Source organism: Homo sapiens, chromosome 2 (assembly GCF_000001405.40).
Source record: "Homo sapiens chromosome 2, GRCh38.p14 Primary Assembly".
Lineage (NCBI taxonomy): Eukaryota > Metazoa > Chordata > Mammalia > Primates > Hominidae > Homo > Homo sapiens.
The window spans coordinates 32580156-32600876 of NC_000002.12; the positions used below are offsets into that span (position 1 = coordinate 32580156).

The window sequence follows — 20721 nt, forward strand, 5'->3', positions numbered from 1 at the left end:
GTTGGCCAGGCTGGTCACAAACTCCTGACCTCAGGTAATCCGCCCGCCTCAGCCTCCCAAAGTTCTGGGAGTACATACAGGTGTGAGCCACTGCGCTGGGCCAACCTGGCAGTTGTAACAACATAGTATCTGACATATTAGTAGAATTCAAGACACTACAGGAAAATCAATCCAGATTTGGAGGCCTAAAGGATACATAGGAATTAACCAAGAATAGAGTACAAATGAAGAGGGGCAAGGGATTGGTGTCCCAAGGGTATGAAAACAATGTTAGCAGTGAAGGAAAGCATCACATATTCAGGGGACCTTGAAAAGTTTGGTGTGCCTGAGCATAGTGTAGCTGGAAGGTAGTGGTGGGAGATGAGCCTGGAGAGGAAATCAGGGGCTAGAAGATAAACAGGAATATATCACAGAGTTACTTACCTTAAAAGTAATGTTGAGCCACTGAAAGGTTTTCAGCAGCTCTCATCAGGTTTGCATTATAGAAAGATGGTCTTCAGGTGTAGTTGAATGGTTGGAGGGGAAGTTGGAACAAGACCAAACTACCATGGAAGAGACTTTCATCTGTTTTGTCTCAGCAGATAGAGCTGTATATGTCTTCTCCCTGTCCTACTGTTTTGGGGGACTGAGATTTTGGTACTCATCAGCACTCTTGCTCTCATATTATGGACTTAATAGATAGTTAGTTTCCAGGTAGAAATATATTCCATGCTCCAGATATTTGTCTTAAAAAGCAATCTGTGTTCATATTGGCAACTGCAGATTTATCTCTAGGGATCTCCTTCAATAGAGTACAAGTGCCATAGCATAAATGGATCTGGGAACATGGCTTCCTTTGTTCTCATATACGAATCCGACGTCTACAATGTTAGGCAGAAATTTTCCAACACTAATCCTATTACTTGGTTATTTGACGGACTCAGGCAGAAAGCTATGATCCGTCGATTGATAGAAGCTAAGTCGTTAAGTCAAAAAGCATCTTAAATCTTTTGTATTAAGGTCCTGGAATGGCAGGGTGAGACTCCATACATGTTCATGTCTTCCTGTTCCTCTACTGTTTGCTTAAAGCTGTCACCCAGCTAAAGTTGTAGACATGGAACACTTATACAACATTAAATTTTGTGTCCTATCTACCCAAATCTAAAAGAGAACTCATATGATGGTGAGATATTATTAATTTTATTAAATAAGTCAGTTTTCTTGATTGAAAACTGAAGGAAATTTTCTTGGTAGAAATTCTTTGTTAGAATGCAGAACCTTGGCATTTGTGAGGAAGAACTTTTAGATGTTATACCACCTATGCTACTGTTTACTTAAATTTTTCTTTGCCTTTTTTTTCTACTTAGAATTTTTCTTCAGATCAACTTAAAAAATTAAACAAGTTTTTCTTAGGCTTTTAAAGAGGAAACTTCAAATTACCCCCATAGCGGATGGACCATTATCATTTGCCATAAATAGGAGACAGTGTAAACATGAGTGAACCATTTACTGTGAATAAAATAGTGTTTACTTATTAATCCTTGAAATATATTAGACCATGTGTGCAAAGCAGTACAATCGGGAATAATCATTCAGATTTTGTTTGTTAAATGAAACACTGGAAAAATAAATGCATGTCCATCAAAAGGAGGATTGTTTATACTACAGAATATTCATACATGTAAAATTGTGCAACAATGGAAAAGAAAAGTGATCTATATTTTATTTTATGTATTTATTTATTTTGAGACGGAGTCTTACTCTGTCACCCAGGATGGAGAGCAGTGGTGCGATCTTGGCTCACTGCAAGTTCCGCCTCCTGGGTTCAAGCAATTCTCCTCAGCCTCCCCAGTAGCTGGGATTAGAGGCCCTTACCACCACACCTGGCTAATTTTTGTATTTTTAGTAGAGAGGGGGTTTCACCGTGTTGGCCAAGCTGGTCTTGAACTCCTGACCTCAAGTGATCTGCCCCCCTCCGCCTCCCAAAGTGTTGGGATTACAGGTGTGAGCCACCGCGCCCGGCCTGATCTATAATTTAGATGTAAAAACAGCCAGCTCTTGGATGTATCATTGAATTTTTAAAAGGAAGCTGGGCTGGATATGGTGGCTCTTGTGTATAATCCCAGCACTTTGGGAGGCCAAGGTGGGAGGATGATTGCTTGAGCCCAGGAGTTCAAGACCAGCCTGGGCAACATGGTAAGTAAAACCCTGATATATTAGTTGAGTTGCCTTGTACACTGTACTCCTTTTAGGTGGTGTGCTGTGGAGTAGAGTAGGTAGAACCAATATTGCAGCCATATCACTGAACTTTCTGTTCATCCAAAGGTTTTGGTAAGAATGACTGCTTAGCTGGGCGTGGTGGCTCACGCCTCTAATCCCAGCACTTTGAGAGGCCGAGGCAGGTGGATCACCTGAGGTCAAGAGTTCAAGACTAGCCTGGTCAACATGGCGAAACCCGTCTCTGTTAAAAATACAAAACAATTAGCTGCGTGTGGTGGCACGCACCCGTAATCCCAGCTACCGAGGCAGGAGAATCACTTGAACCCAGGAGGCAGAGGTTGCGGTGAGCCAAGATCCCACTAGTGCACTCTAGCCTGTGGGATAGAGCAAGACTCTGTCTCAAAAACAAACAAACAAACAAACAAAAAAACTAGAATGACTGCTTAAAGAAGGAACTCAGGATTAACACTGTGGGATTTTCTTTTATGTCTTGTAGTTCTCTTATTATAGAGTTTTCACTATTATATATAGTAATGTATCAGGTACATAATTATATATAATATCTCTAATATACATACATACATATATCTGAAAAGTAGCCTCTGAATTTTTATTTTTGAAACAGTAGACTTTAAGCCGTGTTTTAAGTTGTCCTCAATTACACCTTAATACTAAGTGATTAATCTCTTACAGTTTGGTGCATGATAATTACAGTACTCTGATGGGATTGATATTTAGTGTAAACTAGCGCACTGCTCAAGGAATGAGTGTACTTTTTAGTTAATTTCATCTTTTCTGACTTACCTGTTAGAGTAACCTATTGACACTGTAAGGTGGCAGCTAGGGGTGTTTAATGGTGATTTAGTCTGTGTTTTGAAAGTTGACAATTCTTTAGGCAGTTGTTGGGTATTCACTGTACAGATTGTTTTAAGAGCTTCATAAAGATGATGTTTTAATATTTTTTGGTTCAGGGCTCTGTGTTTCTGTAATTTACTATCTTTCCTAATACCCCCTTTCAAGAGTCGTGATTTGTAATAACTGCATGGTGTTAAGTGTAAAAGTTAACACAGATAAACTGATGAATATTGATGTTGGCTGGTTTACTAATAACCAGAATTTGAATTAAGGCCATTTCTGAGATAGCATTCCTTCTGGAGGAACAAAAGATTAGGCCAGTATTTTATGTCAAAATAGAGATTTTACATTCAACACTTTGCATTTTTTGAACTAGAAGACAAGGTTAGAGTTAAGTATTCTCAGGATTTTCTTCAGAAATTAAAGGTGTTTTTTTAAGGAATATATGTGACATTTGGTACATTAGTTTAATAGCATTTTGAATGTGTACTTTACCTATACCTATAATGCTAAAACGTATTGTAATTTTTTTTCCCCCTGAGACAGTCTCTCACTCTGTCGCCCAGGCTGGAGTGCAGTGACATAATCTTGGCTCACTGCAGCCTCCACCTCCTGGGTTCAAGTGATTTTTCTACCTCAGCCTCCCAAGTAACTGGAACTACAGGCTCCCGCCACCACGCCCGGCTAATTTTTTTGTATTTTTGTAGAGACGGAGGTTCGCCATGTTGGCCAGGCTGTTCACGAACTCCTGACCTCAGGCGATCTGCCCATCTTGGCCTCCCAAAGTGCTGGCATTACAGGCATGAGCCACCTTGCCCGGCCTGTAAATTTCACTTAGACCATTCTTCTAATATCATCTGTCACTTAAAACCTAAAGAATAGGCTGGGTGCGGTGGCTTACACCTGTAATCCCAGCATGTTGGGAGGTTGAGGTGAGAGGATTACTTGAGCCCAGGAGTTTAAGACAAGCCTGGGTAATATAACGAGACCCCCATCTCTCTTCTTTAAAATAATATTTAAATTTAAAAAAATTTTTTTGGCTGGGTGCAGTGGCTCTCACCTTTAATCCCAGCCCTTCGGGAGGCCAAGGCAGACAAATTAACTGAGGTCATTAGTTCAAGACCAGCCTGGCCAACATGGTGAAACCCCATCTCTACTGAAAATACAAAAATTAGCTGCGTGTGGTGGCGCACAGTGGGTGTAATCCCAGCTGCTTGGGAGGCTGAGGCAAGAGAATCGCTTCAACCGGGGAGGCGGAGGTTGTAGTGAGCCAAGATAGTGCCATTGCACTCCAGCCTGGGCTACAGAATGATACTCCGTCTCAAAAATAAATAAATAAATAAAAGTTTTTTAAAACCTAAACAATAAAAAGTGGAGCATATCAGGATGCTGGCATTGTATGTTTTTCTTGTTCAATTAAAATTATTTTTAATAATAGTTTGAATGAAAATGGTTGATTAAACCCTAAATATTGGTTCTTTTTAATTTATTTGCCTGTATAATGTTAAGTAGTTCTTTATTTTATTTCAGAGGAATTGTTTAAGAGGCTTATTTCCTCTACTTGCCTACTATCATATTAGGCAGAAGAAAAAAACTTAGTATTCACCCATCAAGGACTTGCACTCTAGGTGAGATCCATTCCCTGGGCTAGTGTTTGAAAATTCCTGTAACCATAAACGTTTTATTTTTTTAGATGCCCTTAGGCTGGCAATATTCAATCGCTTTGTGATTGAAACCCCTTTCTTTCTGGCAGAAAAAAATATACCAGATTATCATTAATTCTATCCCCAAAGCCTTAGATTCTGGCTTACTTCTTTAGTTTTATAATTTAGTCATTTTTGTATGTAATATTTTTGGGGTTTAGGCCTATAAAGAGTGGGAGGAAATAGTTTCCTAAGGACCAAGACAGAAAAAGAGACTTGAAAAGTAGCAAAGGGTATATATCAGGTGCAAGCAATGTTGCACACGGGCCAAAGACAACCTGTGAAAAGATGTTTATTGATGCACAGACTCCAAGCCTCATTCCATACCGATTGTGAGGACTCAAAATTTGGTGAAAATCAATTTTAGAAATGTTCTGATTGACGACTTAGGCAGATACAAAACAAAATTATTTCATGCATTCCTTTTGTTCTACCAATTAAATTTTGATTAGTACAATATTTGGTTCTTTTGTTTTTTTTTTTTTGAGACAAAGTCTCACTCTGTCACCCAGTCTAGAGTGCTGTGGCGTGATCTTGGCTCACTGCAACCTCCGCCTCCCAGGTTCAAGTGATTCTTCTGCCTCAGCCTCCTGAGTAGCTGGGACTACAGGCGCGTGCCACCACACCCGGCTAATTTTTGTATATTTTGTAGAGACAGGATTTTGCCATGTTGGCCAGGCTATTCGTGAACTCCTGACCTCAGGTGATCCACCCACCTTGGCCTCCCAAAGTGCTGGGATTACAGGTGTGAGCCACCGTGCCCAGCCGATTAGTACAGTATTTCTTTTCCAGCCTCTGTGCTTTCATTTTTTTCTCTTCTTGTTTCTTGAAAATAAGCCAATCTGCCCTAAATCAAGCATGCATTGTAATAAATACATAGTTGCGTATAGTTATATAAGAATATAAGGAGTTAATAATACAGTCCTAACTTTTATGTAGGATTTATAGTTTCTGAATTGCTTAGGTATATATTGATTTTTCTGCTCTATGTAGTGGGCAAGAAAGTATGTACTATTCTTATTTGATAGAAAATGAATCTGTTGCTTAGAATGTTACATTACAAACTTAGTAATAGGTAATAAAGCTGAGATTTAGCTTCTAAGCCTTCTGATACTGTTGATGTTCATCATGGAAAACAGTATTGATGAAGAAAGATAGTTTGATTGACCCATAGTCTAGCTACTTCTATTTTTATATACCACTACTACCCACTACCCAAATAGTTCATTGATCATTAGGATTCACGCTTGTATAATGGCTAAATTTAAGCCTTAATTGGTTGTTGGAAAACACTGATTAAATGCCTAAATACAACTTACTCTGTTACTTAAGTGATTTAAAAAAAAAAACAACTTAAAAAAAAATTATAAATTGACTTAGTGTTTCTGCCTCAGAAGCATAACATATTAGTATAAAATGATCACTTTATTCTTTATCAAATGGCATTATATGAGCTTTATGTTTCACGACAGTTTTCACTGTATTATCTCAGACAAAATCTCAAGCAGTCCTTTTTTTTTTTTTTTTTTTTTTTTTTTGAGACAGGGTTAAACTCTGTCACCCAGGCTATGTGGCACTATATCGGCTCACTGCAACCTCCACCACCCAGAGCGATCCTCCCACCTTGACCCAAGTAGCTGGGACTACAGGCGTACACCACCACTCCCGGCGAATTTTTGTGTTTATAGTAGAGATGGGGTTTCCCCTTGCTGCCCAGGCTGGTCTTGAACTCCTGAGCTCAAGCAATCCACCTGCCTCAGCCTCCTGAAGTCCTGGGATTACAAATGTGAGCCACTACACCCGGCCAAAATCTCAACCAGTCTTAATTACTGAATTTGAAGTCTGTTGCTAAGTAAAATTTACTTCGTAGCAGGTCTTTCTGGGCACATTACATTTAGTAACTTGTTCATATTATCTATAGATTTTAGCATTCGGGTAGTTCAAATTCCACCTTTTTATAAATGAGAAAAACAAAGTTCATACAGACTGTTATTTGTTCTCAGTTCTCTGATGGTTAGTGACATAGCTATGATAAGAACTCATACCTCCTAATGTCTCAAAACATTTATCTGCTAAATTAAACTTCACTCCCAAATAATAATTAGGTTTGTGTGTAAATGATTAATTAAAAATCAGAGCATGGAGCTTCTGAGCTGGTTCTAATATTTAGGATATTTAAGAATTATTTTTAAGGGGCCGGACATTGTGGCTTACGCCTGTAATCCCAGCACTTTGGGAGGCTGTGGCACACAGATCATGAGGTCAGGAGATCAAGACCAGCCTAGCCAACATGGTGAAACATTGTCTTTACTAAAAATACAAAAATTAGCTGGGAATGATGGTGCGCGCCTGTAGTCCCAGCTACTCGGGAGGCTGAGGCAGGAGAATCATTTGAACCCGGGAGGTGGAGGTTACAGTAAGCCGAGATTTCGCCACTGCCCTCCAACCTGGGCAACAGAACGAGACTCCGTCTCAAAAAAAAAATTATTTTTAAATGATGGCAATGAAGTAAAATATTTTTAGTTGAAAAAAATCTGCTTTTGGGCTAAGTGTGGCGGTTCATGCCTGTAATTCCAGTGCTTTGGCAGGCCAAGGCAGGTGGATCACTTGAGACTAGCCTGGGCAACAAGGCAAAACCCTGTCTCTACTAATAATACAAAAATTAGCCAGGCGTGGTGGTGTGCACCTGTAATCCTAGCTACTCAGGAGGCTGAGGCATGAGAATCGCTTGAACCTGGGAGGTGAAGGTTGCAGTGAGCCGAGATCACGCCACTGCACTCCATCCTGTGCGACAGAGCGAGAATCTATCTCAGAAAAATAAAAAGAGAAGAAAATAACCTGTTTTTGATAATTTAAAAAATACATAGAATAATGTGCATTTTACAGAATTTTCTTACTGTTTTCCTTTTACTCATGTGTTTTCACTCCCCTGAAGAATTTGTAATATCCTATGATAGGAGATTAAAGGGCAGCATATTTCACTAAATATCCATAGTATTCTAGTCACGTCTAATTACTAGATTACCAAACTAAACTGAGACTCATTGTGTTTGGTTATCTCTCTAGTATGAGCAGGTAGCAACTTTATAATCACTTTTATGAAGAGTAGGTCAGCTTTAGCTGTCGATGTTTTTCTTGCAGTATTAACTGAATAAGAATTAATAAGGCTGGGTGTGGTGGCTCACGCCTGTAATCCCAGCACTTTGGGAGGCAGGTGGATCACATGAGGTCAGGAGTTCAAGACCAGCCTGGCCAACATGGTGAAACCCCATCTCTACTAAAGATACAAAAATCTAGCCAGGCGTGGTGGTAGGTGCCTGTAATCTCAGCTACTCAGGAGGCTTGAGGTGGGAGAATTGCTGGAACCTGGAAGGCGGAGGTTGCAGTGAGCCAAGATCTGCCATTGCACTCCAGCCTGGACAACAAGAGTGAAACTCCGTCTCAATAAATAAATAAATAAGATTTTTCTGAAATTTTCTTAATTATTGATGGATGTACTTTTCTACTGTCTTTTCAAGATGATTTGGTATCCACTTTCGTAGATTAGGGCAATGTCTTGGTGATAAAATGGCATTACCAAAAGAAGCCCCCTGCTCCCACACACACAGTATTATTTTCCATTTCCTGCATTTTATTGTGGTTTAATGTACCCTATATTTCTAATATCTTTAGCTCCTTTGTCAAGAAGAGATGGTTAAAGGATTTATGCAGCAGTACTTGATATTTAAAGAGTAAGCAAAAACACTCCCCATTTATGAGTATTGTTCAACATTTTATTTTAGACTGTTAGAAAAGACAGAACTTGAAAGTAACTCTCAGTTACCTCCACTAATAAAGGGATTTCTGGCGTGGATAACATAATACTTTAAATCTGTACATACATATTGTTTTTACTTGAATTTAAATATTATTATCTATTGTGAAAATTCATTCTGTTACCCACAAAATAGTCACTCTGTGAAGATGGGACCCTTTAGCATTTACAAGTTAGTTCTGGTGAAATTTATCTCCTGCTGGTCATTCCAGCTGGTATTATCTTAAGATGAAATTAAAATATAGCCATAGTAGTTTTACTTTTGAATAAATATGGTATTTCATAGCTTCCTTCAAGCAGGAACAAAGCCTTTTTTTTATATCTGATCTTTTGTGCAGACTTTTTCTGCTGTACTCCAATAAGCAAAAATCGTATTTAGTGTAGTTGGTATTTGATGGTTTCACCAAAAATTTGAGAGAGAAACTTATTGTGAATAAAAAAATCTTATTTGCTGCCAGGGCATGACACAAATGACTCTATGTTCAGTGTAAAGTGTTCTGGATATTTAACTTCTCTTTGAACAGCATTGAAGCAAGCATCTTTTATTGCCGTTTTTCCTAGCTATCTCAAAGTTTCTTCCTAATGGAAAGTTGTTCATCATAGTTTTAAATAACTGAAGTCACTTGTACAAGTACCCCACTTCCTTTTTATATACCTAAGCAATGGGAGATCACTTGATTTACATCTTTCAAGGCATATTTTCTACCAGACTCTTTTATTTTAACCCCCATAAGCTGGATCTTCTAGCACTTTAGTTAAAAAAAATTTCAGTTCCAGCCCTCCTACTTTGATTTCTGTTGAAAAACACTCTTTTACCTCTGCTTCTTATACCTAAAAATGAAAAAGTCCTGATTTCTTAGCCAGATAGCATTTGTTATACCCATATATTTCTTTAAACATTCCTGTTTTTGATGGTGGTAAACAAGTTCAGTTGTTTGTCAGTCTTTTTTCACACAGATAGGCAAATATTTATTTTAACATCTCTTCTTTGACTGGCTCAGTTGGGTTGTCCCCTGGTAAACTGCTGAAACATATTATTTGTGGCAACTCTATTTAACAGTAGCATGCAGTACCTTCCGTATGTCTGGTGATGTTTAATTTGGCCTAAAAATTAGTATATTTGTGTCTAGTATAGAAATCAAGGTTTTATTTTTAAAGGCTTCTTATAACTATTTTAAGTATTCCCTTCTTTCATGCTCACTTATGCTACCAAAATATTTTTCTTTCAACATTCATTTAAATCATTCAAAATTAAACTGGTACTTCCACTTAGAGATTAAGTAAAAACAAAAGGGGATCATAGAGTTAAAAACTAAGCTTTAAATTAATCACAGAAAACATTTATAGTACGGAGATCTTCGCCCGTTTACTGGTGCATTTCAAGAATTATTTTTGTGCATCCTGGAGATACTAGAAGCAGTTTCCCACAGTAATATTTTTATTTACTCTTTCAGTTTACCTCTAATCTAAACTATAATTACTGTCAAAGAGCTTTAGAACTGAGGAGCACAGTGTGATCAGTGCTTTTTGGTAAATGTAGAAGTTTCATTCTCTTATAGTTTTAGAATCTTCTTCTGCAGTGCTAATTCTTAATAGTTGTGAATCTACATTTCAGCATGTAGTCTCCAGATAACTTCTTCAAATGGCTCTCCTTTTTTAAATGTTTATTGCAACTTTGCAGTATGTTTAGCTTAGATTTAGGAGTGCAAAGGGTTAAAGGGGTCTTGTTTTATCAAGGAAATAGCTGTATTAAGCTGTTTTCAGTTTTTGGATTATAAAATACCATAATTCTGACATGGTGTATTTAGTCTTACTAATACTCAACTTTATTTGGGCGGTAGATACTGGTAGAGGCAGTTCAATATAATTGAATGTTGAGGTATGGGTTTGCTTTTTTGTTTTGTTTTCAGGAGAAAGATTTGCCCATTTTGCTCACATCCTACTTCAGATATGTGTCACAGAGCCAAAATTTGTTTAACTAATTAGCTATTTAGTTGGAATTCACAGCATAGTGGAAAATGTTTGCAGATAATTCTGTGCAATAGTGGAAACTTCAGTTGCTTCCTCGTATTTCTTCAGGGCAGTGATCACAACCAGATTCAACGTATGCACAAAGCAGCGGATACCATGGTAGCGGCCGTCGCTGATTGCTTTTACCATGTTGGATCCATTGTCAGTCTCAAAGACCTACTTCCAGCTAGGTGCCTTGAACTCAAATAGCTTTTCACACAGACTTCAGGATGTGAGCTAAGGTATGGCCTTTTTTCATGAGCTGGGCCTACATATGGGTTGACAGTAACCTGCAACTTTTATAGAAAAGAGACTACTGGCTATAGTTTAATGTCAGACAATGACTAGTTAGAATCATTGATAGGCAGGTAGTGTGTGTTCTTCATATATTCAAAGTATTCTCACCATTTAGAGATTTTCTTTTTTTCGGTGTGTTTTTGTCAGACTATTCAAGTAAAGATTTCTCATTAGAACCTGGTCAAAGGTCTAATATATATCTGCTTTATGATTCAACCATTGTCTTCAATATGAAATATATATCATTTCTTTCACACATTTGATGTAAAGAATTTTTTTAAACTTCTGAGGATTCTTGCACAATTATTTTTCTTTTACTTTTTCTTAATTATGGTAAAAAAATAAAATTTATCATCCTAACCTTGTGTACTATTTTAATAATCTCTTACTAATCTTCTTTTTAAAAGTGGATTTAGGAAATTGGCATGAATAGAGCTTGAGATTTAGAATCAGTAGTTCCAAGGGTAATCTACACACTGGGGTGGTAAATACAATAAAGACCTAAACTGGATTGATGCAGTTCATGCTCCATGCTAAAGATTCTTGTTTCATCAAAGAGAAAATAACCTTTCTGGAAAAAGAGCTTCACTTTCATATCTTCCTTCTCTGCAAGATATGTTTCTTTAAGTGAAATCTTTATTGAGAGTACAGTGGGTTAACTCATTGATTATAGGCTTAGGAAACTATATTTTATTATGGCTGTAATCATAACTGCTTTCTGAAACAAGTTACTGTTGTTTTCTTATTCAGTGGCCCTGTTACTTAATAATTTGTCAAGACCTGGTAATAGAGAATCATTTACAACTGGGGAGTAAGAGTCTTTGTAAATTCAAAGTGGGTACTGTCAAGCAGCTTATGCACTTCTCTTCATTCTCAGTGTTTGACACTGATTGTTATTAGCTATTGACAAATGCAGAAGTTGGTAATCTGTTTGAGTTACTCTACCAGAATCATGTCTTTATTAAGAAGTGACTCACTGTTAAACTACAGTCTCACCTTAATTTCATAGCTGTAAAAGACACAGTATAGTAGTTGACTCGAGCAGTAAAATTCTCTGATATTTCAGTCTTCAGACGTACACTATACTCTCCTTATATATGCAAAAACATATATTCAGATACATGTACATAGACGACAGTTGATGACTGAAATGGTGTACAGTATAACATCTGCCAAGTCATTTCCTGAGTGGTAAAGGAAAGTGGCCATGTGTTCTCTGACTTCTTATAACTCAGGGAAGATAAGAAGAGAGCACAGGAAAAAAGGCAGCCATTCAGTGACATATTATACCTCTTCAGTTAAGTCAGGTGACATAAGTTTTTACCTTCTAGTTAAAGATATCTGTAGAAACTAGTTTTTGTTTACACATTGTAGGAACCAAATTCAAAACACATGCATGATACTATTTTCATTTATTCTTCCTACCCACTTGAGTGGCTTCTGAGTTTACTGTTTATCTACCTTGAGTTAAGGATTGAATAGCTTCTGAGCAGATTTTTGTTTTTGTGACAAGGAAAGGTTCATTTGTATGTAGATGACATAGTATTATTTGTTAAGGATTCTTTTTTTTTTTTTCTGGGAGATGGGGTTTCACTCTTGTTGCCCAGGCTGGAGTGTAATGACGTGATCTCGGCTCACTGCAACCTCCGCCTCCCAGGTTCAAGTGATTCTCCTGCCTCAGCCTCCCCAGTAGCTGGGATTACAGGCATGCGCCACCATGTCCAGCTAATTTTGCATTTTTAGTAGAGATGGGGTTTCTCCATGTTGTTCAGGGTGGTCTCGAACTCCCAACCTCAGGTGTTCCACCCGCCTCAGCCTCCCAAAGTGCTGGGATTACAGGCATGAGCCACCATGCCCAGCCTATTTGTTAAGGATTCTTCTACTGTCTGTTACTCTTTTTATAGTTCTCTAAGGCTCCATGACCACTTTGCGAGATAGTATTTTAATGTAATGACCAAGTCCCTTTTTAGGTAGGTATACAACTAAAAAAATAAGTGATGTATAGTTTAGATCATACCTTAGCATAAATATTTTAAACACTTTTATTTATATACGATTTTAGTTTGTTTCAAATGATCTATTTAAAGAATTATAAAGATGTAGATTTTTGAAATTCTAAGCAGTAGTGTAAAGATGTTTGTGATGTCAATAATGTGCTGAGAGTTGGAATAGAGAAAAGGAAATAATGTTTAGTTGTGTTTTCAGTGACTCTTGTATTAAACTACTAGTACATTTATCTAGAAAATTTAAATAAAAATGTAATGTCCTATATACTTAAACCTTGCTGTAATACATCCTATTGTGATAACAATGTGAAATGAAATTGGGTACATTTTAGATCCTGATAGGAAATAACAGAATAATATCTTTAAAATGAATATGCCCTAAAACTTAGTGTCTCATTAAAAGATCCAATGTATAGAAACACATTGTATTAAGACACCCAGTAATGAACCTACATTTTACTCTAAAATATGTTTTTTTTTCTTGGAAATTTAATTCTGAGTGAAATACAAATAGTATTAAAATTTAAAAACTGCTTGTGGTCCTTTAATTCTCAAATATTTTAGGTGTAGAAGTGATTTCTGTCTCTGAATATTTATAATTATGTGTGTTTTTAAAAGTGTGTCTCTGAGGACATCAGGTATCTGGATCTTTTACAGTATGACATTTATATAATGTCTGTCTCTTCTCTGATTTTATATTAGAAGGGAAAACCTACCCATAACTTTACTAGCCAGTGGCTTCAAAAGCAAGTTAATATAGATCATGTGTGTGACAAATGAAATGCACACACTCATTTGTATATTGATTTATGGAGGTGTTTTAGTCCTAAAATCTTAATTTTCCTTGCTTTTCTTTCCATATTAAAAAAATTCAGATCTAAAAGGGAAAATGTTAAAACAGGAGTAAAACCAGATGCGTCTGATCAAGAACCAGAAGGACTTACTCTTTTGGTACCAGACATCCAAAAGACTGCTGAGATAGTTTATGCAGCCACCACCAGTTTGCGGCAAGCAAATCAGGGTACAAAACTTTTCCTATTATGCCACTTTTCATTTGATGTAAAGATGTTTCATTTACTTACTGAAACCTGCCTTTGTGTTTTTGCTTTATGTTAATGATTTTAAAGCAAGTTCATTTACCTAAAAATTTTGTTCTCTGTTAGATTTTGTTCTTTATCTGATTTCAATCATGTATAGTCTAATTTTTAAACATTTCTACTATATATGATTGCTAAATTTAGTAGGCTGAGAACATACATTATAAATATTTCTTCCCCCTGAAATTCATGAAATTGAAAAAATGCCTTTATATTAGATAGAAAATAGTACATTAAGACTATGGGTGAGAATTTAGTTTAAATTGATATCTCTGGCTGGCGCAGTGACTCACGCCTTTAACCCCCCCAGCACTTTGGGAGGACTAAATGGATAGATCACTTGAGCTCAGGAGTTCAAGATCAGCTTGGGCAACATGGTGAAACCCCGTCTCTACGAAATACAGGAAACATTAGGTGGGCATAATGGCGTGTGCCTGTGGTCCCGGCTACCTGGAAGGCTGAAGTGGGAGAATTACCTGAGCCTGGGAAGTTGAGGTTGCAATTAGCTGTAATTGCACCACTGTACTCCAAGCCTGGGAGACAGAGTAATACTCTGTTTCCAGATAGATGGATGGATGGATGGATGGATGGATGGACGGATGGATAGATATTTTCCTATGTTAGCTGAAGAAAGTGATCTGAATTATCTATTGTTTCACTTCCTCTTTTCATAAAGATGATTATGTTTTTGCTTTATTGTTATGTTTATGTTATTGTTATGTTTATGAAATAGAAATTTTTTATTCTCAGAGCGGTTGTAATAAGATAATTGTGAAGAAGTTGACAATTTTTTGGAATTCACAATTTGAACTCTAGAGGTGAATTCTTTTTAGTTTTATTTTTTAAAATATATACTTAAAATGTATATGTTATTTATCTTGAAATATTAAATAACAGAAAAAAAACTGGGTGAATACTCCAAGAAGGCGGCTATGAAACCCAAACCTTTGTCAGTATTAAAGTCACTTGAAGAAAAATATGTGGCTGTTATGAAGAAATTACAGTTTGGTAAGATGAAATTTTTGATTTGCTTAAGATCTCACTTTCCATTTTTTTTTAACAGTGCTATTGAAATGTGTTTTAGCAAATTAAAGATTTTTAAAATTGCTTGTAACATGAATTTTACTTCATACATATCAACATTTTTTATCATCTTTGCCTCTTGAATTTATGTCTGTATTTTTAGTTATAAACTGTGACTTCAATAGAAGGACTGTAAGAGCCTAGAAAAAATAAATCCAAGCCAAGTGTCTACAAAACAGGCAGAAAATGTTTTTCCTTATTTACCTCTTCATTTCTGTACATCCTGGCCTGAAGGAAGCCAAGACCCAGAACTTTGAACTAAGTCTGTTACTCTTGCCATTTTAGATTTCCTTGCAATTCACCTTTAGAAAATGTAGTTATACATAGTTCAGTTCTAGCTTTTCCCATTCCAAAACTCTTGACAAGTAAGAACTGGCAAAAAGATTATATCAGTACCCTTTATATGGTTCTGATTTATGAGAAAACACATACCAAATTTTGATGACCATTATTAACTATTATTGTCTATGCTGCTTTTTCATCCTTGAGAAACAACCTAAAAATCTTGGACTGTATTTTTTTAAATGCTAAAGTAGGATTCAGAAAACAGATTTTTGTCATATTGTCTTTGAAACCTCATTATAAATCATTTAGCTTTTGCTCTACTTACTTTCAGGTTTGCCATAAAGAGCACAAGAGATAATATATATGAAAGTGATTTATACTTTTGTTAAGAGTTTTGGTCAGTGTCTAATGATATTACAGCCTTTTGCCTGACTCAGCTTGGCAATCTAGTCTGTTAACTTCACTCTAAGTAATAATATTAACTTGGTTTTTAAATAATAAATATTTTATTGAATTTATTATTTTATTGAAAATTCCTTTGTGTATTAAAGTACTAAAACCAAATACTTTATTTCATTTATATGAATTTAATTAGCAATTACCAAGGTTTTTTATGGCTTATTTTATCAAATAGTTCTATATTATATATTGTCACATAAATTACCCCTGTAACTTATTTGCTTTAAAAAACTGACCTGGCCGGGCATGGTGGCTCACGCCTGTAATCCAGCACTTTAGGAGGCCGAGGTGGGCGGTCACGAGGTCGGGAGTTTGAGACCAGCATGGCCAACATGGTGTAACTCCATCTCTATTAAAAATACAAAAATTAGCTGGGCATGGTGGCAGGCGCCTGTAACCCCAGCTACTCAGGAAGCTGAGGCAGGAGAATCATTTGAACCCGGGAGGTGGAGGTTGCAGTGAGCTGAGACACTCCAGTCTGGGCGACAGAGCAAGTCTCCATCTCAAAAAAAAAAAAAAAAAAAAATCATGACCTTTATTATCTCACTCTTTACATGGGTCAGGAATTCAGAAAAAGCCATAGTGCCTGTTATGACCTTGTCTTAGAAAGTGTACAGCATCACTCACTAAGTCCAGCCAACACTCAAGGGGAGGGGAAGAGTGTCAGAAAAGAGTTTCCAGACATATGTTTGTGTATGTGTGTTTCTGTTGGACATAAATATTTTATTGGGCTTTAGATTTCGTTCCGCTTCCTGGGTCATCAAAAATATGTCAGCTAATGGCTTTTAAAAATACATGGCAGTGTTCTTGTACTTGAAGGCGTTTAGTCATATTTCATATCTACAAATTCTTTAACTAGTTCTTTCAATCCAGAAAGTCATTTCATGTATATGAATGTGTTTATGGATCCTTATGTGTGAGAGATTCTGGTTTAAAGTTACTACCTGTCAGAAATTTAGAATCATATGTCCAGACCCCTTCATTAATGTTAGCTAGCTAGAAGAGTTCTCTCATACTACATAAAATCATAAACTCTCCAAGTATGTGACTTTAAACATAATCAAGTTTGCTCCCCATTGGCTTTCAAAATAAGTCTGAAAACATGCAAGTTTTCAGTTGATGCTTTCATAAGAAACTGCATTTTCAACCATATGTATCAAACATTTTCTAGTATCATTCTTTTACAACTTGATACTTACTAACTGCCTAAAATTCCATAATATGATTGGCTGCCATTTGTTTAACCAGTAAGTGGAACTTTAGTTTGTTTCCAGTATTTAAATATCATATGCAACATCTCAGTGGCTTTCATTACCTGTAAATATTTGTGCATATCCAGGATTAATTCTGTAGGATGAATTAACAGAAGAGAAATGATTGATTAAAACAGGCTGTGCATGTTTTATCAAGTAGCCATTGTCTTTGATTGAATCATTTATTTAATGAAATCTTTGAGTTAATAGACCCTGTCCTCTATATGATATAAAATTTTCCCACTGGGCATAGTAATGGGCCCATTTCTTGCATCTGTTAGATTGTTTTTTATAAAAGTTAAAGAAAATGTATCCCTATAGCATGTGAAAGACAAGAGTCCATCCATCTGGCAGTGCTAATCCATCTGGCAGTGCTAATATATAGGTGTTATGTAAACATTTACACTTTTGCTATTCTTCCATGGTTGGAAGTTCTCTCCAGTTGAGTGGGAGAAGGACTAGTGATTGTTTGTGATTTTTGTCATTATAACAATTTTTTGCAGTTCTGGGTTTTATTTTTTCTTCTCCTTTTAGATACGTTTGAAATGGTTTCTGAAGATGAAGATGGGAAATTGGGATTTAAAGTAAATTACCACTACATGTCTCAGGTGAAAAATGCTAATGATGCGAACAGTGCTGCCAGAGCTCGCCGCCTTGCCCAGGAAGCTGTGACGCTTTCAACCTCACTGCCTCTGTCTTCATCCTCTAGTGTGTTTGTACGCTGTGATGAGGAGCGACTTGATATCATGAAGGTAAAAAATAATGATAATAAAGCACTCTCCCTTATCTCCTTGGCTCATCTAATTACTCAAATTTTTATACAAAACTGGAAATACTATACAAATAAATTATACAAAACACTAGAAATTTTGGTGACCATTTTTAGACGGCAGTGAAAGGAGCCTCCCCACCCCTCCCCCCCTTTTTTTTTTGGCGACAGGATCTCACTTTTGCCCAAGCTGGAGTACAGTGATGTGATCACAGCTCACTGCAGCCTCCACAAAGAGCCCTTTTCTAATGTTAGTTCAGAGTGTGTGGATCACGCTGCTGTTGAAAAAAACATTTAGAAAATATCAAAAGAGCCATCATCCTTGAGCAAAGATTGTGTGAAGCTGGTCACAATATCAAAGGATTTAATGCTGATCAGTTAAAAAATGTTACAGGATTTCCATTTTGTCATCCAAGATACTTCTCTCATGTTTTTTAGTGTCACTCTTCAAAACTTAGTCATTTTCTGTCTTTTCTAGGAAATTTATGTTTTTTTTAAATTCCTAACATCTGTGAATTATAGGTAATACAATAATATATAATCTCTACTTTTATGTTTAACACGTGATAATCTGGCCTTAAATTCCAAGAGTCTGCTGCATCAAGAAAATGTTAAACATTTAACCCGAAAAAGAAAACTTTCTTTATATTTATGATTTAATTCATGGGTTAAACATTCTGTCTTCCATAGATACGCAGCTAAAACTATTGGCCCATTGACTTGTAGAAAGTTTTATTTGTTTGCTTGCTTCTTTTGATTTTTTGGATAGGCTCATGCCTGTAATCCCAGCACTTTGGGAGGCTGAGGTAGGCAGATCACTTGAGGTCAAGAGTTCCAGACCAGCCTGGCCAACATGGTGAAACCCCGTCTCTACTAAAAATACAAAAATTGGCTGGCTGTGGTGGCAGGCACCTATAATCCCAGTACTTGGCAGGCTGTGTCTGGGGAATTGCTTGAACCTGGAAGGTGGAGGTTGCAGTGAGCTGAGATCTCGCCACTGCACTGCAGCCTGGGCGGTGGAGTGAAACTCCATCTCAAAAAAAAAAAAAAAAAAAAAAAAAGGCCTGGTATGCTGGCTCATGCCTGTAATCCTGGCATTTTGGGAGGCCAAGGTAGGCAGATCAGTTGAGATCAGGAGTTCAAGAACAGCCTGGCTGATGTGGTGAAACCTCATCTCTACTAAAAATACAAAAATTAGCCAGGCATGGTGGTGCATGCCTGTAATCTCAGCTACTCGGGAGGCTGAGGCAGGAGAATTTCTTGAACCCAGGAAGTGGAGGTTGCAATGAGCCGAGATCACACCATTGGACTCCAGCCTGGGCCACCAAGTGAGACTGTCTTAAAAAAAAAAAAAAAAAGCTGTTCTTATTTTGGCCAGGCACAGTGGCTCAAGCCCGTAATCCCAGTGCTTAGGGAGGCCTATGCAAGCGGATCACTTGAGGCTAGGAGTTTGAGACCAGCCTGGACAACATGGGGAACTGGTCTCTACTAAAAATACAAAAATTAACCGGGCATGTTGGCAGGCACGTGTGTTCCCAGCTATTCAGGAGGCTGAGGCAGGAGAATTGCTTGAACTCAGGAAGCGGAGGTTGCAGTGAGCCGAGATTGCGCCACTGCACTCCAGCCTGGGCGACAGAGTGGGACTCCATCTCCAAAAACGAAGGTTGTTCTTATTTCATGTTGGATTGTATTTTTCTAAATATCAGTGTTTAGGAATGTTAACATAGACTTTTGTATGTTTATATATATCCAGGTTCTAATAACTGGTCCAGCGGACACCCCTTATGCAAATGGCTGCTTTGAGTTTGATGTGTATTTTCCTCAAGATTATCCCAGTTCACCCCCTCTTGTGAATCTAGAGACAACTGGTGGTCATAGCGTGCGATTCAATCCAAACCTTTATAATGATGGCAAGGTAAATTAATTGCAATTTTTTGTTTCAAATGCCAATGATTGTATACAAAGGTTCTTTGTAATTTGAAGAAAAATTTTGTTTTAGTTATCTGCTAAGAGGGCATGGGTTTCTTTGTACTTCTCTTCCCTACGTCCAGATTAGCTTAAGCAATAGAAGGAACTGAAAAGAGCAGAAACAGTTAAGTGTTAATTAAGAAGCACTTACAGTCTTAAGAAGTTACTCGGGGACTTAACGTAAAGTTCTATGATACATGCTATTAGGAACTTATTTTAAGGTGTACCTTATATTCAAGTGTTTTTACATTTTCTTATATTAAAAGTAGGAAGATGCATTTCCATTTACAAAAAAGCTGACCAAAAGACATAATAAAAATCATCTCATATGACCATAAACCTTTTAAAATTAGATTTAAAAGAGTAATCTGTTTTTCAGAGGTATTTTGGATACTTTGATAGAATTTCAATGGTAAATTCTGTGCTGAGTATTCAATGTTTTAAAATCTAGAAGAGAAGAATTTCAAAAGGTACAGCCTGCCTCAGATATGTGGCAGATATGTGGTTGCAAATTATCATTAGCTCAAATCATAAAACTAGAATTAGTTTTTTGGGTTTGTTGCAAAAGATTTGACCAGAGGCAGAACTTTCTTTGGAAGAACAAAGAACAGGTTTTCTGTAGCTGAGTAGGGAAGAGGAAATAGCAACATTGACTTTACTTGAGACACTGGAACTTGAATAGAGTGTAAGTGTAAAATATTAAGATGTATTTAAGAAAATAATTCTCAAGGCTTCGTTGCATAGAGAAGAGGGTAAGGGCTTGGGAATCTTAAATTAATGGTCTTTTACCATCATACTTACCGATGTGTTCCTTGATACACACAATTGTGGACTTATTTTTAAAGTTTACACACTGTTAGCATTTAATCTTAGGTCCTATATCTACAGATAGGTATGAGGCTACATATCTGCCATTGTTAGTC

General features: G+C 36.9%; 1 protein-coding gene across 50 annotated transcripts in view; it reads left to right on the plus strand.

Moving 5' to 3' along the window:
• BIRC6 (baculoviral IAP repeat containing 6) overlaps window positions 1-20721 on the plus strand; it is a 261856-nt gene that overhangs the window by 223133 nt on the left and 18002 nt on the right. For all 50 annotated transcript variants that reach the window (XM_006712055.4, XM_005264451.5, XM_047445167.1 and 47 more), the window contains 4 exons: window positions 13760-13905; window positions 14879-14989; window positions 17596-17813; window positions 19584-19745. In XM_006712055.4, the coding sequence (XP_006712118.1) occupies window positions 13760-13905; window positions 14879-14989; window positions 17596-17813; window positions 19584-19745 (637 nt within the window). The remainder of the gene's footprint in view (window positions 1-13759; window positions 13906-14878; window positions 14990-17595; window positions 17814-19583; window positions 19746-20721) is intronic.